At 41.9% G+C, this 26,931-nt stretch overlaps 1 protein-coding gene across 7 annotated transcripts in view, besides 1 other annotated feature; it reads left to right on the forward strand.

Moving 5' to 3' along the window:
* Positions 1–26,533, forward strand: part of UVRAG (UV radiation resistance associated) — a 329,023-nt gene extending 302,490 nt beyond the window's left edge. For 4 of the 7 annotated variants that reach the window (NR_170160.1, NM_003369.4, NM_001386672.1 and 1 more), the window contains one exon: positions 23,012–26,533. Coding sequence is in view for 5 of the 7 variants with exons in the window: in NM_003369.4 (NP_003360.2) it covers positions 23,012–23,714 (703 nt within the window). In the remaining 2 variants the exon portion in view is untranslated. Of the gene's footprint in view, positions 1–5,479; positions 5,743–17,946; positions 18,025–19,494; positions 19,731–23,011 lie in introns of those variants that run through there. The other 3 variants (NR_170161.1, NM_001386671.1, XM_047427520.1) reach the window with 3 other exon arrangements.
* Positions 2,844–3,571: an enhancer, noted in NCBI's record as "NANOG hESC enhancer chr11:75831587-75832314 (GRCh37/hg19 assembly coordinates)". NCBI's record gives its function as "activates a minimal SCP1, AML or CMV promoter by ChIP-STARR-seq in primed H9 embryonic stem cells {active_cell/tissue: H9 hESC(primed)}" and the evidence as "EXISTENCE:reporter gene assay evidence [ECO:0000049][PMID:30033119]".

The following is a 26,931-nucleotide window of genomic DNA, read 5'->3' on the forward strand; positions in this document are numbered from 1 at the left end:
GCCCTTAACTACATTGGCAGACAGCGATCAGGTGACTTTTCTTCAGGAGCCCAGATAGGGCTGAGCCAAGAATACCCAGTTGCTATTTTGCCCTCTAGATTCACCAATCAGGAAAGTCCCTCCTCCTCTGAGAGAGTGAGAGGATGGAGAGAGCCAAGAGTGTTAACTCCTAAAGCCATGTTCCTTCATAGGAACAGAAAAGGAAAATACCTCCAATTTTCTTGATATCTGTTAGGGAAAAGCTAACCTCCATATCTGTTAGGGAAATATCTGTTAGGGAAGGCTCTTCTTCAAAACTCTTGGCTTTTCTTGACTTGAGTCTTTGAGTGATTTCACAGTTTTATGACATTGGGTCTTCCTAACTATGAACATGTTACATCGCTTGCTTTTTTAAAACATACCTCCATGAGGTTTATAATTTTCTTCATAAAAGTCTATGCATCTTTTATTAGATATACTTAGTCCTATTAGCTTACAGTTTTGGTTGCTGTTGTAAATTTTTTTATTATAATAGTTAACATTTTCTGGCTGATGTACAGGAATAGCACTGATTTTTAGTATTTTGAGAGTGTGTTCTGGCTAACATTAGTTACAATAGTTTGTTTCGATTCTCTTGGATTTTTTGTGTATACAATCATATTTTTAGTGAATAATGGTATTGTTTCTATTTTTATAACTTCGTTACTTTTTCTTGTCTTACTATGTTTTATTACAGAACAGGAGCAGTGATAGTGGGTATCCTTGTCTTCTGACTTCAAAGAGAATGCTTCTAATTTTTCACCATTAAGTATTATATTTATTGTAGATTGGGGTAGATATCCTGCATTAGCAGAAGGAAGAATTTTTCTGTTCTCAGGTTACTAAGAGTTGTTTTTTAATCATGAATATGTGTATTTTGAATTTTACCATGTTTATTCTGAATCTGTTGAGGTAACACTACATTTTTCTAATGTTAAACCATCTTTGCCCCCTGGTCATGTGTATTATTTTTTCCTACATTATTGGATTCCTTGGCTAATATTTTAGAATGTCTCCATCTGCAAACTGAAATGAGACTGGCCTACAGTTTTTCTTTCACATAAAATCCTTGTCTGATTTTGGTTAGAATTGAGCAAACATGATGAGGTTATAAGAGCTTCATAAAATAAATTGAGGATCTTTACCTTCTTTTCTATTCTCCAGAACAGTTCATATAAGATAGGAGGAAGTATCTCTATCTTAAAGGTATGGTAGAACCTAGAAAAAAACTACTGTTTTTTGTTTGTTGCTGGGGAGAGTGTAGATTTTTAACTACTGATTTAATTTCTGTAATGCTTACAGGTCTGTTTCTGTTTCATTTCTCCAATTCCTAGTTAACTCACTCCAGTCTGATTTTTAGTTCTATGAGTATACTGAAATTCCTTTTATCTAGCTTGGTGCCTACCGAATTCTAAACATAGACCCAAACTCAAAGGTCACTTTTCATCCTTATCCTGTTCAGTGGCACCTGGCCTTGCTGGCCATTCCTGCCTTCCTGAAACACTCTTCCTTGTTATCTTCCACAGGACTGCCCTCTCCTGGCTTTCTGCTTCTAGCTTCTCCATGGCCCCATCTTAGGCCCTCTTCCCTTTTTCTCTCTGTACTCTCTTCTCTTTTTTTCTTTCCTCCTCCGCCTCCTCTCTACCCTCTTCTTAAGTGTTCTCACCCATTCCCATCATTTTGAAAGCTGTTATGCTTATGACTCCCAAAGTTTTGTCTTCAGTGTAAACCTCTCCTGCACACTCTGGATAGCCAGGGGCCTACTTGACTCTGCCCCTGGGAGTATTAGAAGCATCTCAGCCTCAACACAGCTAAAACCCTCCTTCCACCAGCATAATTCCTGTCAGCTAATGGGACCCTGTCTACCCAGTTGCTCAAACCAGGGAATCATCCTTGATCCCCTTCTTTTCTCCACTCACATCAGAGCTAATCTTATTCATCAGCAAGCCCTGTCATCACTATCTGCAAAATACATATCAATCTGTTCACTTCCCATCTCTGCTATTGCCACTCCAGTCCAAGCCACCACCTTTTCTTACCCAAACAGCTGCACCAGTGCAATTTGTCTCCTTGTCTTGTCCTGCCTCTGTCCACTCTCCAAAGTAGCCAGGATGATCTTTCTAAATGTTGGCTAGATCTTAATCACTCTTCAGCTTCAGTGGCAAGAGTGAAATCCAAGTTTTCTTCCATAGTCTACTTGGCCTCTGCCTCATCTGATACCACTCCCTTTCCACTCTCACGTCCTGTCGCTGTACTGGCCTCTGTGTAGTCATGTGAATAAGCTCTTTCCTGTCTGAGTGGTTGCACTCACTCTTCCTCTGTGTAGAATGTGCTCTGTCTCTTCCTTCTTTCCTACCACCTTCCTCACCTCATCGCCTCATAGAGAGGGAATAGTTTAAGAAAAGCCGCTTTATGAACACAGCAGCTTTATTGGCAATGAATAGGCACCTTGGCTGGAATGCAAATTCATTTTAAGAATGGGGAGAATCTGGGCTTTGTGGTTCCTTGGCAATCCTTTTTAAGAAAAAGAATACAAAATTACAAATACAAAATTAGAGATGAAAAAGCATTTGGAATGAGAAACAAATCACAACAAATTACTGGAACCTTAGGGATTAGGTCCTTTTCTTCTGAGATGTCTGTAGACAATTTACTCAAATTATTTACATATAAATGCTTCCTCATTGCAACCTGACTGCCCTTCTACTCCTAAAACACTGTAATTTCCAGCAACTCTCAGTTCTAAGGTACGGAGAAATTAATTGACTTTCCAGGCATAATTGACCCATGAACCTGTAGCAATAAAAGTAGAATCTAGGTGTCCTGGCACTGTTGCAGCAAACCCATTAAGCTCCAAGCTCATACATTTATAAATGTAGTGCCCCTCTGTGCCAGCTGTGCCAAGCATATTAACACTGAGTGAACAGGAATGTGTCACTTTATGGTACTGTAACGTAAAATAGGCTACTAAAGTAGATGCAAAGCACTGCAAAATGAATGCTACATATCAGTTCCAAGTAAAGATCACGGCAGGAAGCCAGGCTGGAAGTCACAAAGCTAAACAAAGCCGGAGCAAGCACTTTGAGTCTCAGAGGAAATCTGAGAATTTCCGAGAGCAGCCGTGGAGTGAGGAGTTACCTCTCAAGCCTGTGCTCCTTAGGGCAAAGGGTAAAAAAACTCAGGTTCCTAAGGGAGGCTCTTACATCTTTTGTAAAGCAAAACACTTCCATTTTCTGTGTGGTTGTTACCATTCACAGATTGGTCCCTGTGGAGGCAGATTGCTGTATGTTCTTTTGGTGTTGAGGATTTCATACTGGCTGAGGATCAGTGCATTCACTGAATTCCTCCTTATGGTAAGCTTCAAAGTTATGTGACAGCTTGTTTTGTTTTATTTTGTAAAGAAAAGCTGTGATAAAAATCCTCTTAATAAAGTAATTCTTTTTCTTGCACAGTATGGAATTCTTAGCTAATATGAGAATGATCGACCTGATTAATCCTAAAATGAACCCCCATTTTTTATGAACACAGTTGCACAGGGCACAGCTCTCAGTGATTTATGCCAGGTCTTTCCAAAAGGAGTGCCCATTTTTTCATCCTAAGATTATAACCTAGTCGTAACTGCCAAGCAACACAATTTTGAAAAGCAGAATTTCAGCTTAGAATCTGTGCTCTTTTGAATACTGTGATTGAAAGTCACCAGAATGTCATTTAAACATCCTAGTTTTCTTTTACTATTGCCTGCATAGTGATCTGAGACTCAGATTGACATGCACAGGCACCACTGATGTGGGTGCTGAAGAATGTGCACCTAAGCTGCAGCCTAATGGCTGCCTGTAAGACAACAAGTTTAGAACTGAGTTGAAGAGATTATGTGCGAGGTTGCTGTGAGTGGGCTGTGTGATGGGGCCCCAGCATCCAGGTCCTCAGGCAGTGCCTCGATTTTGTCTCTCCACCACTCTCCCACCCTTTCTCAACAGACCCCCAGGCATAGCACTCTCATTTGTGACCTCCGTTCTTTACTTAGGCAAGTTCCCACTACCCAGAATAGCCTGCCCCTTCCTCTGCCCTATCCAGATGTTGCTCTCACTTCAAGACCCAGCTCATATCCTATCTCATTCATTCACTCACTCAACACCACAGTGGCAGCTACAGAGATAAGTGTGTATTCCCTCAGTAGCTTAGAGTCACTTCTTTGCCGAGTCTTACCCACTAGGCTTTTGAGCAGCTTGGGTCTGGGGACCACGTCTTACTCATCTCTGTGGTCCCAGCCTGGCATTACAGAAGCCAGGGAGGCTAGAGAAGGGAATGAAGAAGCCATCTGAGCTGTTCTACTCATGGAATATGCTCCTTGAGCTTGTGTTCAAGGAGCTTACAGTCTAATTAAGGTGGTGAAATAGGAACAAAACAACATGTACTGAAAAAAGTAAAAAGTACGACATGCTATAAGGGAGAGTTATTTTGAACATTCAGAGGAAGCCCTTTAGTTCCCGGTGTGAGGGGTGTAGACAAACCTTCACTAAGGAGATAACATTTCAGTGGAGAGTGGATCTGGAGCAAAAGAAGAATTTGGCCACATGAGGTTTGGGGTATAGGACAGAGTAGGTTAAGAAACAGTGGCCCAGTTAGGTGGAAAGACTAGGACTATGAATTTGAATACCAGCACCACTATTTACTGTCTCTGTGACCTCAAACAGGTTTAAGCTGCCTGCCTCAATCCCTTTCCCTATAAAATGAGGGTAATAGTGCGTACTTAATAGTGTGGTCAGAAGAATTAAATAGGTAAGTACCTAGCATACTGCCTGGCACTTAGTAATAAATAAGCGGTAGCTTTTATAATGAGTAAATGAATCGTAGTTACTGTCTATATCTTTTTAAAATCAAATGCATCCTTTGCTGTAGGTGTTTTTACTTTGACATCTATAGTCATCTTACAGCTAGGTATAGAATATGGCTCTTGTTCATATTTTGGCTCATGCTCTCTTGTACATTAATGGTACGGAAGATTTACCATCTGTCTACCTCTCACTTTCCCCAAGTCCTTTATAAGACCACTCTGAGGCCTTAGAGATAAGTACCCTAAAACCTGTTTGCCTACAAACTTTTTTTGGTACCTGCCTTCTTAGGTAACTCTCACCCATAGTTAGAAGTTACGAATAATAAAATCTCTTACTTGCAAAACTTTCTATGTTTTTACTTAAGCTTGCAAGAACCTTGTGAGAGTAGCTGGGCAAGAAGAATGACCACTGTTTTACAAACCAAAAAACTGAGACTCAGTGTGCCAAGCGCCTTGCCAAGATCACGTGATACTAAATGATGGAACTGGGACCAGAAACCCAGATTATCTGACTCCTGATCCCATATTCTTTTTACCATATCACAGTGCCCATTATTGGGTAATGGCCATTCTCTTCCTTCTCTGCCCTTCCCCTGCCCTCCTGTCTCTGTGCCACCTCTATTCTAGTGCCTCCTACCTTCCTCAGGGAAACCCACCAGAGTCAAATCCAGAGCGCTGGAAAGATACACTGCGAAATCAGGCAGCAGGCCTGGTGGAAACATTCCTGGTTGTTTATTCTACCTCATTTACCTCCAAGAGGGAGGAAACTAAAAGTAATAAAACTTTGGGAAGAATTTAAGAACTTTAAGACTGAAAGAAACAAAAATGATCACGTTTCAACTTCATTGGTTAAGAAACAGGAACACTGAAGAAGGAAGCACGTGGGTCGGGTGAGTAGCCTAAAGCATATTTGCCCGTAGTGTTTGTGGAATGCTTCCTGGAATGGCATGCTCTTTTTTTCTGAATAAGAAAAAGGAAGAATAAGAATAAGATGAAAGCAAGATTTCAAAGCCATCTGTCCTGTTTTTTTCATAGGATTTTTTTATTCTAAGTTTAATTTTTCCTGATTATAGAGCTTAAACTATGTAACATCTTCATGCAAGGTAGTATAACACAGAGGAAGGAGCACTAGATTTGGGAATCAGAAAATATGGGTTCCAGTTTCAACGCTATCACTTAATTTTCATAAGTTGTTTTTGAGTATCAGTTGTTTTGTTTTGTTTTGTTTTGTTGAGATGGAGTCTCGCTCTGTCACTCAGGCTGGAGTGCAGTGGCTCGATCTCAGCTCATTGCAACCCCCACCTCCCAGGTTCAAGCAGTTCTCTTGCCTCAGCCTCCCCAGTAGCTGGGATTATAGGCACGCACCACCACGCCCAGCTAATTTTTGTATTTTTAGTAGAGACAGGGTTTCACCATGTTGGCCAGGCTGGTCTCGAACTCCTGACCTCGTGATCCACCCGCCTCGGCCTCCCAAAGTGCTGGGATTACAGGCATGAGCCACCACGCCCAGCTGAGTATCAGTTCTTTAAATGGAGTTAATACCACCAGTTATTGGGAAACTATTTCCCAAGCATAGTTTTTGTAGGCCAAATGAGATAATGTTCATCAAAGTGGTTTATAAACTAAAATGAACTGTGCAAAGTATTATTAAGTATTGTTTTTGATTATTATTAAGTATTAAAGAATTTGACAATTCATTAAGTGTCTATTCTGCGTATAGCATTGTTCAGGAGACAAAGAAAGATTCAAAAGTGTAAGATTTTCCCTGCCATTGCTTAGTTGACAGTCGTTTAGTTTATAATCTAAATTATTAGATAAGACAAATATTTTGAAGGACATGACTTGCAGGAATATTCCTATACATTGTTCACTCTCGCTGTCATGTGGGACTTACAACCTGAGGCCCATCATTAGTGTGTAGTCTGCTACAATGATGGAGGGCAACGTTGGGCCAACTTATTTTGTTTTAGGGCCAAGCAAGCCATTTTTAAAGAGACAGAATCAATCTCAGTGACCTTAGTAAGGATAGAGCACTGAGAAGTATCCTTGGCTGTTCAACAGCAAGCTAGAATATTTCTCCAGAGTACTTTAGTGTTTAACAAACACCGGTGTTTAATGTTGGGAGAAGTAACTAGTGGCTTTATGTGAGGCCATCCCATTTTAGTGGTAAAATCTCCAGATAGTCCTTCTGCTGACCTATTTCTAATGTAGTCTTCCATTCCTTTTGGAAAATAGAATCAAGCTATAGCTTTAAATAAAAGTATTAGAAGAAGAAAATACCTAAGAACTTTGACACATTTTAGGAAAATGTTTTTTCAGTAAACTGAGAATAATGAAAATTTAGAATAAGTGAGCCAATCTACTTTCCTTAAAATTGAGTAATGATATGGTAGTTCTGCTTTTACACCAAACCACTTAACTCTTGAAAATGAGGCAGTATCCAGTATTTAAATCTTTACAAAGCCTCACTTTTTAGAAACAGATCTACTCTCTTCCTTTCTGTCCATCATCCTTATGCTGAATTCAGAACTGAAATCTGGCAGATGACCCTCTAGGGAAATGAAAAACATGTTGTCTAGCTGACGTTGGTTTTTAAATTTAGATCAAATAACATTGTCTTTGAAGTCTCAAGAGTCCTACTTAAGGTAGCTGTATCAGATAGGCTCGCCTTTGAGAGCATTTCTTGCAGGCCGGCACCCCTAATATGAAAAGTTAAGCCTAGTCAAAAATAAGTGAAAAAGAAAGTTTTATTGGAGTTATTTTCTCTAAGATAGCTGTTTCAGAAGAACCTTGACGAGTCATCTCCTTGTCTCTAGACAGGAACACACAAGGCATATGGGTATCTGTAGTATTTTAAAAGACCTTAGGGGACCAGGCTTCTTCCATAACTCATTCCAGAGTTTAAACACCCTCACTTCAGGAAATTCTTCCCTATATTTAACTAACAGGCCCCCTCCTGCGGTTAACACCCATTTCCACTTTTTTCTGCCTCCAGTCAGGATGGAGAACAGCTGGCCAACATCCTTTGTGCACTAACCCTCCACTGGTGACAGAAAGGCACTTGGGTATCCCGGCGCCGCCTCTCCCCTACTCCAGCAACCAAGTCTCTGAACCAAATTGAGAGCTCTTTTCCCATTGTTTTTACTTGGGTCTTCTTTATTTCTATTTACTCCTTTTGATTATAAAATAGTATGGGCTCAATGAATAAAATTTGGAAGTTGTAAAAATATGCAGAAGGGAAACAATAGCCCCATAATTCAGGCACAAAAAAATCACTATTGTATTAGCCAGTTTTCCTTGTATTTCTTTTCTAATTCAGATCTTACCATCTGTACCAACACTTTTCAATAGAAATATAATATGAGCCATACATATAAATTTAAATATTCTGGCAGTCACTTTTTTTTTTTTTTTTTTAGACAGAGTCTCGCTCTGTCACCCAGGCTGGAGTGCAGTGGTGCGATCTCAGCTCACTGCAAGCTCCGCCTCCCGGGTTCACGCCATTCCCCTGCCTCAGCCTCCCGGGCAGCTGGGACCACAGGCGCATGCCACCTCACCCGGCTAATTTTTTAGTAGAGACGGGGTTTCACCATGTTAGCCAGGATGGTCTCGATCTCCTGACCTCGTGATCCACCTGCCTCGGCCTCCCAAAGTGCTGGGATTACAGGCGTGAGCCACCATGCCCGGCCTGGCAGTCACATTTTTAAAAAGCTAAAAATAAACAGGTAAGCTAATTTTAATAATATATTTTATTTAATTCAAATAAAATCCAAGTTATATATCCAAAATATCTTGTAGACATGTAATAAACATTTTAAAGATTATTAATAAATATTTTACATTCTCTTTTTTCATACTAAGCCTTCTAAATCCAGTTTACTCTTGTAGCACATCTCAAGTCAGACTAACCACATTTCAAGTTCCAGCAACCAGTTCCTAGTGGTCATGGTGGACAGCACAGTCCTTACAGCTTTTTTGTATAACGTAATGTCTTAAGTATTTTATCAGTGCCCTTTAAAACTTTTTAGCATCATTTTTAATGGCTACGTAGTATTTCATCATTTAGATTTACTATAACAATATATTGAGGTAGTTGTGTTTTTCTCAACACATTGCCAAAAAACATCACCTAAATGTTTCCTTTTGCACACAACTAATTAAATTCATTTATACATAAAACAAGTATATTCACTGAATATCTGTGTGCTCTGTACTAAGTTATATTGGAAAGCGGAAGAGGGGGTTTCCAGAAATAAAGACTAGATCCCTCCCATATGCTGTTTACAAGACTTGGCTCCACAGTTGGACTGCACACAAATACCGTATTTTATTCTGCCTTAAATGCCCTTCCCTTCATTTCTTGCTCTACCTCACCCCCAACACACACGTACACTGCCTGGTTAGCTTCCACTTATCCTTCAAGGTGCCAATCAAATACAACCTCCTCTGATGAGTCTTCCCACTGATTACTTGATTCCCTTCTTCACTGTAATATACAAAGTGTGTATTGTATTCAGAGCACCATGGTGTTCTGGTTATTGGTTAACTCTCTGTCTTCTCTACTAGAGTGGGAACTCCTTAATGATAGGAATCTTATTTTATACATCTCTTTATTTCCAGAGCCTCAAAAACTGTCAGGCAATGAAATGTGGATTTCGGTAATGTCTGAAAGATGTGTTGAAAATGCAAGTGATCACATTAAGCATCAGTTGGATGGTAACATAAGTACTACCTTCAGAGTTCAAAGAGATCACTTAGATTGGCATGGTTAAAGAAGACAGAATGAAGGAGTTAAAGAAATGAGTTAAAGAATGAATGAGGGCCGGGCACGGTGGCTCACGCCTGTAATCCCAGCACTTTGGGAGGCCGAGGTGGGTGGATCACCTGAGGTCAGGAGTTCGAGACCAGCTGACCAACATGGTGAAAACCCGTCTCTATTAATACAGAAAGTTAGCCGGGTGTGGTGGTACACGCCTGTAATCCAAGCTACTTGAATCGCTTGAACCCAGGAGGTGGAGGTTGCAGTGAGCCAAGACTGTGCCATTGCACTCCAGCCTGGGCAACAAGAACAAAACTCCGTCTCAAAAAAAAAAAAAAAAATGAATGAATGAATGAATCAATGAGGCCTGGCGTGGTAGCTCACACCTGTAATCCCAGCACTTTAGGAGGCCAAGGTGGGCGGATCACTTGAGGTCAGGAGTTCAAGACCAGCCTGACCAACATGGTGAAACCCCATCTGTACTAAAAATACAAAAATTAGCCGGACGTGGTAGTGTATGCCTGTAATCCCAGCTACTTGGGAGGCTGAGGCACAAGAATCACTTGAACATGGGAGGCAGAGGTTGCAGTGAGCCAAGATTGCACCACTGCACTCAAGCCTGGGCAAAAAGAGCGAGACCCCATCTCAAAAAAAAAAAGGACTTGAATTGGGTTTTAGAAGATGGGCATACTTAAATGAATTGGAGAGGGAATTAGTACAAAAGCCACTGAGATAGGCACACTAAAAAAGCAGTGCTTTTCAGTAGGCATTCATTAGCACTGGGGTCCCCAACCCTCGGCCATGTACCAGTAGCAGTCCATGTCCTGTTAGGAACCAGGCCTCACAGCAGGAGGTGAGTAGAGGATGAGCGAGTGTTACCCCTGAGCTCCGCCTCCTGTCAGATCAGCAGCAGCATTAGATCCTCATAGGAGTGCAAACCCTACTGTGAACTACTCACGCGGGGGATCTAGGTTGTGTGCTCCTTGTGAGAAGCTAATGCCTGATGATCTGAGATGGAATCGTTTCATCCTGAAACCAGCCCCCCTGCCCACGGCCCATGGAAAAATTGTCTTCCATGAAACCGGTCCCTGCTGCCAAAAAGGTTGGGGGCCACTGCTTTAGCATATGTTGATAAGTGTCAGTAAATAAGTATCCTTCTGGATCGAATGCACTGTCCTAAGTTTCAAGAAGGCTTAGCAATATGGTCTTTGCCCATCAAAAGCTGGTAAGTGTCAGCAGCATTAGAAATGAGCACTGGCTGTTTCAGTATGACCTTGGGTGCCAGGCATGGGAGGTATTTTTTGTTTGTTTGTTTGTTTGTTTTGAGACAGTGTCTCGCTCTGTTGCTCAGGCTGAAGTGCAGTGGCGCCATCATAGCTCACTGCAACCTCGAACTCCTGGGCTCAAGTGATTCCCCCCACCTCTGCCTCCCAAAGTGCTGGGACTGCAGGCATGAGCCACCCCGCCCAGCTGTGACCTTTGGGTTTAAGCTCGATTTAGATATAATTCCCTGTGTTTTGTTTTGTTTTATTTTGTTTTAGCCTCTGGATCCATCTGAGGAAATGCCTTGTGTTTTAATTTTAAAGAGTTTAAATATCATTTTATATGATGTTTATTCTATAATTCTTCTCTTAATGGATAGCAATCTATAATAATAGTTAATATCATTGTAGCTAATATCAAGTGACTATTACTGCAAACCAGGCACTCTTCCAAAGCACTTTGAACATAGTATTCAGTTAACTCATTTACTCCTCACACAGCCCTGTGAATTAGGACCTACTAACCTCTCCCATCTTAGAAATGAGGAAACTGAGGAACTGAGGGGTTACATAACTTAATGTGACACAGCCATCAAGTGGAAGAGCTAAGATTTGAGCCCAGGCAGAGCAGTTTTAGAAGTCCTGCTTTAACCATTACATGGACAACCTCTCCTATAACTATGTTAAGAATAAAGTGTTTTACACAAGGGATCATTTAGCATCTGGTGATTCCAGAAAAGGAATCTTGTTATTACAGCCTTCTCCTGGTTTTCTTCATTCCTCTCTGAATGCTCCTTCTTATCTCATTCGGAGGGTCCTCTTCCTCTACCTCATCACGAAAAGCTGGAGCTCCTAAAGGCTTAGTCCTAGGCCCTTTTTTCTCTCACTTTATTCTAAGTGGAGATAAGTTCTGATATCAGAAATTGCCTCCTGTACATTTTCACAGCACATTCTAAGTGCCCATGCGTTTTTCTACCAGTCTTCCATCCCAGTCACGATAAGCTCTTTGCTTTCTGCGAATGAAACCACTTTTCACTCTTTTACACTAGCCAGGAAGCCAGGCAAAAACCTTTGTTCCTCCTTTTCTTCCTCACCCTTATATCCAACTCTGGCAATTCCTGCCAATTTCTCCTGCTATTTCTGTTTGTCTATGTCTGTACATTTCCATTCTGATCCATGCCTCCATTACCTTTCACCTGTACTACTGCACAGCCTGCAGTCTCCCACCATCCACTCTGGACCCCTCCATTCTGCTCTCCCAACTGCAGCCAGAGTGCACTTTCCAAAGTATAAATGTCTCTCTCTCTCTCTCTCTCTGCACCTCTGACACACACACTCACTCACTCTCACACTCTCTCTCGCTCTCTCTCTCTCTCGCTTTCTCTCTCTCTCTTCTTTGCCTGAAAGTTCTAAACATGGCTTGTGGCTTCTGCATGGTCCAGACTTTGTTTTCCTCCTCAGTTTTATCTTCTACCATAGAACTCTTCACTCATTGACCTTTTGGGTCCTCAAACATTGTTATCTTTCTTGATAAAAGGTCTTAGCAAATGCTGTTCCTGCTACCTGGAAGATACTCTTCCCCACCAACCCATTCTTTACCTGGTGAAGAACTCTACTAGCCCTTCTAATCTTGTCCTTTTCTGTCTGGGTCAGATCTCTGCTACAAGCTCTTTGAGCCCGTGTCCTCTCCTGCATAGCTTGGGTCAGAGGTGGTTGTTTGACATTGATGTATGTGATGTATGTGTACTTGTCTGTCCTCTCTCACTAGACAATAAATTCCATTAAAACATGAACCATGGCTTTTTTCCAATTATTATAGCCCCAGAGTCTAGCGCAGCTAGATACTCAATACATATTTGAATAAGGGGGTAAATCAATTAATTTGTTTTATACTCTGCCTCCTTTAGGAGTATAGGGGACTACAAAAGATAAGGTTACCAAGATGTCATCTCTAGAGTCCCAGTCTCTTACTAAACAGTAATTAAATTGCGGCAAATTGCAACTCAAACACTTCTGCCCAAGGCCTCCAGCATCTCTGAAAATGGTGGCAGAGCTATCCATTTTTCTTTTAAAGTAACAAACAACTAAACCCTCACAGTTTGGTTCAGTGAGAGTTTATTAGAGAGCTGATGGTAGGTCAGTGTTAGTAGTATCTTTCAAAGACTTCATCTCACAGATTCTGTCACTGGCCCTGGGAGTCTAATGCATCCTTTAGCTCCCTTCCAAGTCTAGTTTTTAAACTCTGAAAGCATTCTCTGACCAGGGTTTTAATTTCCCTATCGAGTTCCTTCTGGGGGCTGGGTTCTGTGAGATTGTTGTTCCTCTGGTTTCCCTGGCAAAGGCAGAGGTTTTGGGTTTTTTTGTTTTTTTTTTTCATTTTTTCCCTGGTTTTCAGCATAAACAGTTTATTATTCCCAAGTATCAAGTGTTGTCCAGATACTCCGAGGGGTCCCCAGGTATCATTCCTGGCATCTCTTTCCTGTTCTTTCCATGTTCTCGTGTAGGATGTTACTTAAGCCCTATATAAATGACATCAAGATGGGCTATGTCTGTTTCTACAGACCATTTTACAGTCCTCATAATGTTGGTTGCCTGACTGTGATTTTACTACATTAATTTGTATGATGATTTCTTAAAGTGAAAGCTGATGAGTGAAGTGGTTGACTTGACCCCTCCCAGGACCTCTCTTTATCTCCGTGGAGGATCACTGTGTATTCCCTGATCCCATGGAGCTCAGCCTGGAGCCTGAGCTGGCCTCCAGATGGGCTCTCGGCAATAGGCACCCCCTCATCCTCTGTCCACTGGCCCAAGCTGGGCCATGGAGGCCTGATGGCCAAGACCTCACATCACAAAGCCTGGTGAACTGGATTTCTTCAGCTTGCTTATTTTGTCTTTTGCCTGTGGAACTTTCTCTTTCACCAATTCATCTTTCCATCACTACTTGGTTTAAATAAAATCCAAAGGCTGCCTTGTTCAGTTATACCTTTTTATACTCTGTTTTTATTTAGACAGACTTTGGTAGGAAACCTTCCAAGCAAAGCCCCGGGGGAAAAGTGACCATTGGCACAGATTTCAGCCTGTGCTTTTGGCCCAATATTGTTTCTATTTTTATTTTGTTTCATGTTTTTGTTAACATCCAGGGCAAAGATTAAGTACTTACACTTATCTGGTAATGGTGAGAGGCCTTTGGATTGCTTGCCTGTGGCCTGGAGAATGCATGCTTAAAACTATTAACCCCCAGCTACCTCCTGGGAGATAAGATCTAGCTGTTAAATTTGGCTTTCCCTAAAGGAGGTTCTGAGCTCCTACTTGATCTGAGAGAGGGAAAGAAGAAGGATAAATCCCAACCTTTGCTGAATTTTGAAAAAAGGATAGTAGCTTAATTTATGAAGGTTGTTTTTTTGAAAAAACTAACTTTATGTCATAATTTCTTAGCTGCCAAAAGACGTAATTCTACCTCAGCTTTGCCTTGGCAACCCGCTTTTGGCACTCTGTGCAAGCCTGTCGTTGCTCTGCATTATTTAAGCAGTAATCTTTAAGAAGGTGAGAAACTATTATTGCTTTTTAACACAGTTGACATGATATTGGCGCAGACTAGTACCTAGAGCTTCAAACATTTCTGGTGGCCGTAAACCAACTTAAACACCTCCATGTAGAGGTCTCACTGCCATGAGGTCATAGATTGCTACAAGGAGGGAGAAAGAAGAAGATCAAATGTTGTTTAAAAGTCTTTTTTTTTCTTTTTAAATATTCTTATTCCACTGAGTTGTAGCTGTAGATTTTGGCCGGGAGCCAGACAATCAAGATTTAGTATTTTGACCAGCTGTGATCTAGTAATGTCCCTCAGAGGAAACATTTTGTAGGGAGGGAAAGACACATATTTGAGACTGTGAATTGTACTCTGTCCTCATACTTTACAGTGTGGGACCTGGTTGTAGACAGATAAAACAAGTACAAGTGAATCTGAAAGAGAATTAGGAAAAAAAAAAGTGTTTCAAATTGTTAAAGCCTCACCCCAGCTTCAAGAACTCTCTTGATGTGGTAAATCTTTACATGCTTTCTTTATTTCATTTTTCCTGTAAGTTTCCACATTTACATCAGTTCGTGGCAGAATTTATTTCTGCTCATAGCTGATGCTTAGAATGCCTAACAGTATAAGTCTTAGAAAGTCAAAAGAGCAACACAAACTTAATGTAGGCAGGAAGAGAAGAGAAGGAAAATATACCAATCCACTTAACCTAAAAATTTTTCTCATTCTCACCCCATCCTCAAGTAGAAGTAGAGATCAAATGTAGATGTTTTGGTGACAACAAAAAACTTAAGATCCTAGGGACTGGGAGAGAGAAGGAAATTAACAATTAGGTAGACCGGCTTGGTTAAATCACATCTTTCTACCTAGTGGCTTCATGACCTTTGGTCAAGTTACCTAACCTCTGTGCTTCAGTTTCTTCATCTGTAAAATGAGGATGATGTTTGTAATACTTCACAGAGATGTCATAAGGATTAAATGAGACCATGTATAAAGCTGTTAACAGAGTGCTTAATCCATAGCGCTTTATAAATTTTAGTTGCCGTTTTATTATTATTAATAATTTATTGGGTACTTATTCATTGTACTAGGAATTTTACTTGTATATCTCATTTAATCCTTACTGCAGTAACTATTGGTAGCTATAACCATTTCACAGAAGAGGACACCTAGGTTGGGAGCAGTGAGGTGCATCATCAGTGTCTCGTGTTTCCTAACGATGGAGCTACATGTGGAGCTCTGGAATATTACCTATGGGAGATGTGGAAATGGGAATCACATTTTGGACTGGTGCTTTCTTAACTTGTTTTCTCTTTCCCAATCTCTTTTCTGTAAAAGGAGGCTACAGCTTCAGGCAGTAAAACCAAGAGGAAGAGGAGGGAAATGATGGGGGCAAGGATGGTGGAGTAGAGGAAACTGGGCTCTACCAGTTCCTGGGTTGGCTTCATGGCAAGGTATTTGCATGGCAAGGTATTTATATAATGGTTATAAAAGTGCTGAATATGGTCTTCTTCATTTTAGTCAGAGAAATAGAGAATTTCTCCCTCTTAAAAAATTCTCTCTTCCTGAAGCTAAATTCATGCAGAACAAGGATGCATCAGGGGTTTGGGGACAATTGGAATGTACCTCAAAGGATTCTGGGAAGTTCTTCTAGTCCCTAAGCAGTAGGTAGATCATGAAAACAGAGGAATTTTGAGCATTTTGACTTTATTCAAAGCTTTCCCCACCTCATGTCCCCAAGAAAAAAAGAAAAAAACCTAAGATTGTGTTTCACATTGAACAGATTAAATCTGTTGATTGATTTGGGTCTTTTTCTCCAAATCTCTTTTATACTTTTTTTTTTCTTTTTTTCTTTTCTTTTTTTTTTTTTGAGACGGAGTCTCACTCTGTTGCCCAGGCTGGAGTGCAGTACTGCAATCTCGGTTCACGCAACCTCCACCTCCTGGGTTCAAGAGATTCTCCTGCTCTCCTGCCTCAGCCTCCCGTGCAGCTGGGATTACAGGTGCCCACCACTACACCGGGCTAATTTTTGTATTTTTAGTAGAGATGGGGTTTTGCCATGTTGGCCAGGCTGATCTCGAACTCCTGACCTCAGGTGATCCACCCACCTTGGCCTCCCAAAGTGCTGGGATTACAGGCATGAGCCACCACACCTGGCCTTTTTTTTTTTTTTTTTTGGTGGGCGGGGGAGTCTTACTTTCATCCAAGCTGGAATGCAGTAGCATGATCATAGCTCACTGCAAGCTCAACCTCCTGGGCTCCAGTGATCCTCCCACCTCAGCCTCCCTAAGTGCTGGGACTACAGACATAAGCCACCACGCCTGGCACTGTACTTCTTTATTTCCTTCTTGCAGCTAGCTCCCTGATGTACAGAAGTGGAGGTGTGGGAAGGTAGGTGGTAGGAGTTTCGTTTGTTCCTGCTTGAAACAGTATGCTGTATAAGAGAAACAGTAAAGGGAAGGAGATTTAGATTCCAGTCCTTCTTCTACCTATTACCCTGTGTTCCTGTGCAAGACATGAATATGTCTGAGTCTCAGTTGCGCCTTCTGTAAAATGAGAATAATACTTGGAATTTGAAGCCTACTGAAACGAATCATAATGACAACCACCACAATTACAACTACTACTGACGCTAGTGTCTATGCCAGGCATCCTGCCAACGATTTTAAGCACATTATTTTATTTATTACTTACTGTAGTCGATCTATTTTATAAATAGTCATTAAATATGCCCACAGTCATATAACTCAGGGGTGCCCAACCCCCGGGCCACAGACTTTTACCCGTCTGTGGCCTGTTAAGAACCGGGCCGCACAGCAGGAGGCGATGGAGGGTGAGCGAGCATTACCCCCTGAGCTCCGCCTCCCATCAGATCAGCCATGGTATTAGACTCTCATAGGAGCACGAATCCTGTTGTGAATTGTACATTTGAGGGATCTAGGTTGTGTGCTCCTTATGAGAATCTAACTAACGCCTGATGATCTGAGGTGGAGGTTTCATATCCCCACCCCCAAATCCATAGGAAAATTGTCTTCCACAAAACGGGTACCTGGTGCCAAAAAGATTGAGGAGCACTGATATAACTAATAAACGAATGTAACCTTAAGTTGTAACTCCATATAGGTGGGATCATAGTGGCAGAGCTAAGAGTAGAATCCAGGTCTTTGAACAGTCCTTCTTGTCGCCACTGTCTCTAGAGCTGAAGAGATAAGAAAAGATAGTTGATTGCAATAAATAAGGACTCACAGAATGAGAAACAAATTAATCATCTTAATTTAGAGAGCTCAGAGAAAACTTGATCCAAGGAAGCCAAACTGACTTCCTCCTTGACATCTAAACTCCAGGCCAGTTGGCTTCTCCCTCATCGTGCCATTGTTTGTGACCCCAGGAAATACTTTTTTACTTATGGCAAAAGGTTAACAGTCCCTGGTGTGGTTCAGTTATTCAACAAGCTACACTGTGTTTCACTAAACCATAGCCTAGTAAATTTGCAATTATGATATCTTTGGGTTGTTGTTTTTTAATAAATTCCTTTTAATTGCAGCATTAAACCACAGATGTCATGTTTCCAGTTTGGAGCTAAGCCCAGCTGGAAGAGACAGCCACTTACGGGAAATGGCTGGTGAGGAGAATGTGTGCAGTGAACTGGTAGACTCGGTCCAGTTGCTTGAACCTCAGGCTCTGCACCCGCAATTCTAGTGCCTCCGAACACACGGGGCCCCTTGGTGGGAGCAGAGAATAAAGAAAAGCTACTGTGTTTCCTAATATGTCCACTCCTCCCAAAACACACACATTTTTGCTTTTGGTTGTCTAAGGGTTGAGGCTCCCTGTAAGTTTTTCATCACAATATAAATAATGTACTAATTGCATATGATGAGTAAATTGTCAACAGCCTTTAAAAATTGGTCATATAATTAGTAAATCTATGAGTTTCAACCTCTTCATCTAGATGAAATAGTCATGAAGCCAGACTGTAATCAAAGAATCTTGAAACCTCCTGAATATTCTGTTTTGAACTATTATTTGCCTTTTCAATTCCTCCCTTTCTCTCTTTAGGCAAGAGTAGAGATAAAAATACTCTTTTATTTCTTTACCTTATACTAAAATATGAATGAAGGGTCTTTCTGAAAACCTTCCATTAAATATAAAATCAAAATTATTTTATTAAAAATCTATGCATTATGTTTTTATACGAGATGCTCACAGCAGTTTGTTTTTTAATAGCAAAGGTTCAGAAACATCCTAAATCTACAAAAGTAAGGGAATAATTAAGTAAATTATGATAGTCCATTCAGTGAAGCAACCATTTAGAATTCTGCTTACCAGGAGGTTTTAATAGCATCCAACAGCAGGATGTAGCATTCTGTATATACCAGAAACACAGCTTTAGTGTTTCTTTCTTGTTTCCTTTTTTTTTTTTTTTTTGAGACAGGGTCTTGCTCTGTCGTCCAGGCTAAAGTGCAGTGGTATGATCACAGCTCACTGCAACCCAGGCTCACGCAATCCTCCCACCTCAGCCCACAGTTGCTGGGACTACAAGCGCTCACCACCATACCCAGCTAATTTTTTAATTTTTTATAGAGACAGGGTCTCCCTATGTGGCCCAGGCTGGTCCCAAACTCCTGGGTTCAAGCAGTCCTCCCACCTTGGCCTCCCAAAGTGCTGGGATCACAGGTGTTAGCCGCCACACCTGGCCCATAGGGTTTCTTTAAAAATTAAACACATATATTTAAAATCAAAGTCTGAAAGGAAAATACCCAAAATTAATAGCAGTTATTTGATGGGTAATAGACTTGTGAGTTTTTATTTTTTTATATAGTTAACATAGTTTTAGTTTTCCTGTAAAACTATTGTAATAATTAAAAATACATGTGTGTTTAATGTTATCATTTGATACTTCAACTGTTTGGAGCTTGGCTATCTTAAAAATCTGGAATGTAGCTGGGATCCTGGAAGTAATAAAAAAATCAATTCTGAACAGCTAAAACTAATGTTACCAAACTCATATAATAAATACAGCATATTGTGCCCAGGACAGCTCCTGGCCCGCCACGCAAATCCTGTTTACTCATACTTTGCACACAATTTTCAGGACATCTGCTTTACAAGAACACAGCAAACTAAGAAAGGGTATAGTGGCCACTGCGGGCAGGGGCACTGATTCAACCACCCACAGCGCCAGAGGGGACTCGAAGAACCCACGCCAGGCTTACCTCCAGACCTGCGTCCTACAGAACAGACACCACTGAACATCCTGTAGTCCCCTTATTGTGTCATCGCTCAGTAATGTTCATATCAGTGGCCCAGAGGCAACGAGAAAATGCCTTTTCTTGTTCAACTTTTTTAAGATGGTAAGAAAAGCTGTAATAAAAATTTTTGAAAGGTTAAATCTCATAGAACTAAAAATGGAGGGAAAAAATGTGGTGATAAAAAGGTAAACCTTAGATATGTAGACTTCTTTATTATCTCTCCAAAAATAACTAATTTCCTTACCATTCTTAAGAGAGACCATTTTGGCTGGGACCTGTGGCTCACACCTGTAATCCCAATATTTTGGGAGGCCAAGGCAAGAGGATCACTTGAGCCCAGGAGTTTGAGACCAGTGTGTGCAAGATGATGAGATCCTGTCTCTAAAAAAAAATTAAAAATAAAAAACATTAGCCGGGCATCGTGGCACACACCTGTAGTCCCAGCTACTTGGGAGACTGAGGTGGGAGGATCCCTTAAGGCCAGGAGTTGAGGCTGCAGTGAGCTGTGATCACACCAGTGTACTCTAGCCTGAGCAACAGAGTGAGACTTTGTCTCTAAAAAAATTTTTTTTTAAATTAAAAAATAAAAAGAGAGAGAACCTTTTACTGGTACTTGGATTTTCCAGTTTGAATCTGATACTACCATTACTTGAGTTTTCATACAAATCCAAGGGAACTGGAGAAGAATGTCACAAAATCAGGATGTCAGAAAATACCAAAGTTCCCACCTCTCAAAGCCTTGGAGTCCATCCATGAAAAGAGGAATAACATTACCATCTTAGAGTTTGTGGGCAAATGAGAAGGCATTTAGCTTGATGTGTACTATGTCTTTGGCACTTAGCAAATGTTACTTGAATTTGAATGTCGTGTTCCCTTGTGGGACACAATAGATAGGATGGGCTCTGGAGTCAGACAGAATCTAGTTCAGATGTGGTTCTTCAGCCTTGAACAAACCACATGACCCACCACCTGCCTATCTTCCTCACAGGACACTCGAGGGCTCTGTGTGGGCAGCTCATCTTCCACGGGGCTCAGAACATTATTGACAGTCGGGAAAATGGTCGTTCCCTTCACATTGTAGTTGGCAAGGTGGGGCAGTGGGGGTTGTCGCGCCTCATTAGTTTTCTGTTGTACAAAGTTGAGAACTTTTAGAGTTCTCAAACTCAACGAGGGCTACAAACACCCTGTTCCTCTTGTGCGGCAAGCACTGCTGGGTGTGCCCCAGGCCTGTTTCTCATGCCCTGCCTTTTATCAGCCCACTGGGAGCCCCACAAAACAGCAGAGCAGGATTTCTGGGGTGGGAGGATGGCAGCGCAGGGTCACAGCATGAGGGGTTAAGCACCTGGCTCTAGCCACACACCAACAAGTCACCTTCAGTGTTCCGGGCTGTTTCACCTGGTGCTTCCACCCCTCGTGGGCTGGGCTGGCAAATGAAAGCTTGGCTTTTCTGCACAGAATAGACTGTCTGAGGTGGTGCTGATGTTCTCTTTTGGTTTGAGTACCTAGTCAACCTGCAAGATGATTTAGAGAGGGACACTGTTAGCAAATGGTAGAGTAAAAACAAGGCTTGCAAAAATGTGTAGCTTACCCAATTATTGTGAATTTGGGCAACATATTAACTATAAACCTAGATCGAGGCCAGCAGATTTTGCCCTGTTTTGTTTTGTTTTTCTGGAGAACTAAACACTGTAATTTACTAGTCTACTTGCCTAGTTCTATATGTACCCCAGTGACCACGCCTAATTATGAAATCTCTCCTGGCACCAGTACTCACAGCCAGGCAGAGGAGTCTGACAGACCCAAGGATTAGAAGCCGTGTGGTTGCCCCTTCCCAAGAATAACCCTTGCTTGGGTGTCTGAGACTGCAAGTATAATCCTGCATCAGAGGAGAGAGAGCAGGGAGCTGGGGCCAGGGCTTGTGGCTGTAGACACAAGTGGAAGAAACCCCAGATCTCTTTTCTTTTCTAGGGCACTTCTTGCTATTGTAATTTGAAAATGTATTATTTGAATAATGAGGGATGTCTTTCTCCTGCAGGACTGGTAGCTCCTTGGAGGAAGGGCCTACTGGTCTTGCATCTGTCTCCCTACCCCAAGGCCAGGCACATATGGGAACTATTTGTTGGGTGTGTGTAGTTTCAAGTTCTGCCTCTACCCCTGCCTAGTGGTTGCCCTTCTGCAAGCCACTTAACCCTCTATGCGTGTTTCCTCATCTGAAGCACGCAAGTCAAATGATCTGTGTGTGCCTCCCTCTGCCTCTGGACCCAATCTGTTCATATGGTTGTATTGAAGCTAATTTCATCCACATACAAGAATGTCTAGAGCTAGCATAGTGTATAACATAGCCATCATTTCCAGGATGTAGATACTCTATTTCCATTAACTGATTATTATTTATTATTTCAGACTTTACCCTGCTTTCTCTATAGGGTTTTTGTAAAGACTAAGTGAAATGATGTATAGGAAATTACTTCAGAAATTATAAAGTTTGTATAACTGAACAATGATTGTTATTGCTGGCCCAAAGATACCCTCCTGAGAAGAAACTCAGACCCAAAAGACAGCATTGCAGACCAAGTATTGTAAAACATATGTGTGGCTAGCCCCATCAAAGAATGTATTTCCCAAGTTAGTTTTTCATTTTAAAAAAAAAAAAGGAACCCCTCAAAAATTTTTTTTAATTTTTAAAATATAACCTTGACTCTCTCTCTCTCCCTCCCTCCCTCCCTCCCTCCCCCTCTCCCCCTCCCTCCCTCCCTCCCTCCCTCTCTCTCTCTCTCTCTCTCTCTCTCTCTCTCTCTCCCTCCCTCCTCTGCCAGTCCTCTAATGCAAGGTGGTTAGCATTTGGGTGTTGGCAAGGTTGTTGGTCATGAAATCCTTCTCACTGCCTCACTGAGCATGGGCAAGTCATGTAAATTCTCTGCCAGATGAGGATGCCTGCTTTTCAAAGCTAAAATAAGAATTGAATTGAATACTAAAACAAGAATGAGATTATGGATAGCCCTTCAGAAATATGAAGTTAGTTATATCCTTCACATGTTTTTCTTGCTAGATCCAGCCTGTCCAGTTACTTCACCTCTTCCCCATAGGACAGGGTTTCTGTTCCCTGCCCTGCCTTGGGCCCTCTTCTCTAAATATATTGCAGTGTGTCTGTATCCTGCTGGAAGGAAGCTCCCAAAGTTGGACCCACATACCTCATGTTGTTTTTTGCATTGAGACACTGCAATAACTATTGTCTAAGATTGATTCTTATCTATTTTTATTAGCTCAGACCTAAGTATGCTGTTCCCTGTCTCTGGATCCAGAAGGCTTACACTGAGTTCTGAAGTCCAAAGTAACTTCTTGTTTTTGTTTCTCTTCTAGTGACAGACATCACACCTCCAGTGCAATCCCTGTTCCTAAGAGACAAAGCTCCATATTTGGGGGTGCAGATGTAGGCTTCTCTGGGGGGATCCCTTCACCAGACAAAGGACATCGAAAACGGGCCAGCTCTGAGAATGAGAGACTTCAGTACAAAACCCCTCCTCCCAGTTACAACTCAGCATTAGCCCAGCCTGTGACCACCGTCCCCTCCATGGGAGAGACCGAGAGAAAGATAACATCTCTATCCTCCTCCTTGGATACCTCCTTGGACTTCTCCAAAGAAAACAAGAAAAAAGGAGAGGATCTAGTTGGCAGCTTAAACGGAGGCCACGCGAATGTGCACCCTAGCCAAGAACAAGGAGAAGCCCTCTCCGGGCACCGGGCCACAGTCAATGGCACTCTCCTACCCAGCGAGCAGGCCGGGTCCGCCAGTGTCCAGCTTCCAGGCGAGTTCCACCCAGTCTCAGAAGCTGAGCTCTGCTGTACTGTGGAGCAAGCAGAAGAAATCATCGGGCTGGAAGCCACAGGTTTCGCCTCAGGTGATCAGCTAGAAGCATTTAACTGCATCCCAGTGGACAGTGCTGTGGCAGTAGAGTGTGACGAACAAGTTCTGGGAGAATTTGAAGAGTTCTCCCGAAGGATCTATGCACTGAATGAAAACGTATCCAGCTTCCGCCGGCCGCGCAGGAGTTCCGATAAGTGAAGTGAGCAGGTCAACAGTAGGACTGGGGCAGAAGCTCTGCCTAAAATGAAGTGAAAGCTGCACTTAACCCTTTGTGATAATGATGACACAAAATGAATATTAATGGAGGATATTCCTCGGAAAAACAGACTTTGGGAATGAAGGAGGGACTCAGGATCATTGTTATCAGTGGGCCAAAGTTAGATTTTGCTTTCAAGATTTGCTTTTCGGGCCTGATGATTTTAAAGCAAAAATCACCCTCTAGTTGAAAGAGCTTACAGCTCGAGTCACCTTTTAGCTATTTGTCTGCTTTTTATTTACCCTTGTATGTTATCCTCAGAGGGAAGATGATAATATATAAATAATATAATGAACACACCCTTAGTTTCTCATAAGCATTTGCCCTCACCATGGTTTATAAAACTTTGGGAAAACGGAATATTCAGAAATAGGTTTCCGCCATGTACTGAAAGGTCTGTGGCCATCTGTGAGGTAGATGAAGAAGCAGCATAGTGGTCTCCTTACATCTAGGCCTAACTGTCCCTCTTCCTGCCCCCGGGTACCACAGTCCACCTTTAGACCCTACTGTCGCCCCATCTTCTCCGTGGATGGGCCATGCGTCCTGAAAACAGGACATCAGATTCACTGGTTCTGTAACCCAGTAGCTGTGACGTTCCATCTCTTCTAACCAGCCATGGCCTTCCCCTCCTCTGCCATACCCTTAATGCGGCCCTCAGATTAGATGAAAAACTTGCTCCTGGTGGATCCCAAGGGACCCTCAAGGACCTCGAGGTTACTGCAGTCAGATGCCATCTCATCCCCTGTGGGGGCCAAAGTTTTTATGTGGGCAGATGCTGTGGTCAGGAACTAGGCATGCTTTCTGGCAATGCACTCACCAGACAAAAATCCCTTGATGTAAATCCCATGTTAATTTATTAAATTTCAGTCAGAAGGTCAGCATTTACATGACAGAATGTATGTAGAGAGTTGGGGTGTCTGGTAGGCAAACTGCAAGGCAGTTGAGATAGTTGGATTAAGAGGCTAGACGAGACATAGAATACTATTGGTATGTGTGCAATTTCATGAATATTAAATTATGTTTCGAAGTCCAGTTGTCATTCCCGCATTCAGATTTCATTTGCTGTTGCTTTATACGTTACGTACCCAAGGACATTGCCTCAGGGTTGCAAACTCTTTAAAGGAAAATTTATCCATATATCCATGTATTATATAGAAGAATAAAAATTGAGTTTACTTCACCCGACCTGATTTTTTTTTACCAGCTTGGAAATTCCTCTTGAACCTACGTCTCCATATGTCACATCATGACAGGACTAGCCTGAACAAAAGCCATGTCTATCTAAGCGGAGGCTGTTGACTTCATTCAGTTTGCATATTGTATATAGCAACACAAACACTTGACAGGTATATACTCCAGTCGCCACATTTGTCCTGCATAACAGCTTCACTCACAGGCCTCACCGTCACTTTATTTTGTGTCCAAGCATTCCTGGGCTCAAGTTTAATGTATAGCTACATTGTTGTTTTCCATGTAGAGAACTCACAGGATGACTACATCACAAATAAACCCAACTCTCAGGCAGTCGAAAGCTTTAACTGGATCTGCAGAAGCCCATCTTCCTCCACATGAAGAAGTGGGGCTCCTTCACCTAGAGCAGGAGCTTCTCTGCAGTGTACTGTCTGTCGCTCATTTTGGAGTCAGTGTGGGTGGAGACAGCATCGTGGATATGCACGTGCTGCGGGGCCCTCCAGGGAAGTAACATTTACCAAAAAAAAAGAAAAGTTCTGAAGGGCAGTGTTAGGATTGCAGAATGGAAGGTCAACCCCGTGGGACTTACGATTGCCCCAGGTGCGGGATGGACTTAAATGTCACACCAAACTCAAAGTAGGTACACTGGGTTGCAGGGCATCCAGCCTGGCGCTGGCACCACCAAGGAGCAGGACTCCTCATGATTACAGTGTCCATCTCAGGCCCACACAACCATGAGAGCCTGGACTCTGGGGTCTACCCGTCAGTGCCCCCCACCGCTGTGCAGACTCCCTGGTTGATCCTGGGCTTGTGGCTTTTCACCGCACGGCGGGGAGCCCTGCTCTTGAATGTCATCGGGCTGCTCAGAGCTGATTGCTAGGTGCCTACACATTTGCCTCGACCCACACAGCCCCGTGGTGATGCCTCAAAACACCACTTAGGTTTGGGTTCGTTTAGTTCGAGTTTGGGGTTTTCATTTGAACTTGTTTGATGTCTGCAGTTTCTGCCATGACCTGGGTAGAACCTATGGGATTACCCGTCTCCTGGAATAACTGTTTGACGTTTTCCAAAGTTGTAGAGTTAGTATGGCCTCTGTTTAAAGTGGCTGGGGCCAAAATAAGGGATGAGTTATTATCTCCTACTAACCTTTTAGTTTTGTAAATCACTAAGAAAATTGTTTGCTTGGAAGATATAAGTTGAATTGGAAACTCATTACTATCTATTTCTGAACTGCTAAGAACCCTTTCAGTTTTCTTACAGCTGAGACACTTTTAAACAGCGGGCAAATGTTATCAAATGAATATTTGATTGTGTTTTTTCTCTTCACTTCCCCTTAACCACTTTAGAAATTCCAGAGATTTTTTTCCCCTCAGAATATTAGTTTTGGAAGATTGTGCCCAGCTATATATTTTTTAGCAGTTCTAATGGTGCCCATTTATCCTGACCTAACCAGTTATTTAAATAATTTTTTAAACCACCACGAATAATAAATGGCATGTGAAACTGATCTGTTGGTAACTGGAAGAAAACTCAGCATCTGTATTTATACAATAAAATTGATTAGTATTTATTTTGAGAGTTAAAAGTGTATATTATTTCCCTGCTATGTTTGAGTCCTGTCTTCATTGTTTTGAATTTCATATTGAAGCTGGGTTAACCACGAAAACCTTGTTCTTAAAGAGTCAGCCAGCATTTATCTAGCACACTTGCTCTCACACGCTCACACACACTCTCTCTGCACATGTGTGTAAGGGACTGGGCTAAACAAGGTTAAGAGATGAGTAAACCTTGACCTCTGCCACGTTCTCTAGTGGGGCTCACAGGTATGTTAGCTATTAATGATAATTCCGTGTGCTAAATTCTGTGATGGAGAGATGTATAGCCATTCTACGGAATGCAGACAAAGCTATTAATTGTCACTCAAGGGTCAGGAAAGATCCATGGAAGTAATGCAGATTAAAGATATGT

Source organism: Homo sapiens, chromosome 11 (genome assembly GCF_000001405.40).
Source record: "Homo sapiens chromosome 11, GRCh38.p14 Primary Assembly".
In the NCBI taxonomy this organism is placed as follows: Eukaryota; Metazoa; Chordata; class Mammalia; order Primates; family Hominidae; genus Homo; species Homo sapiens.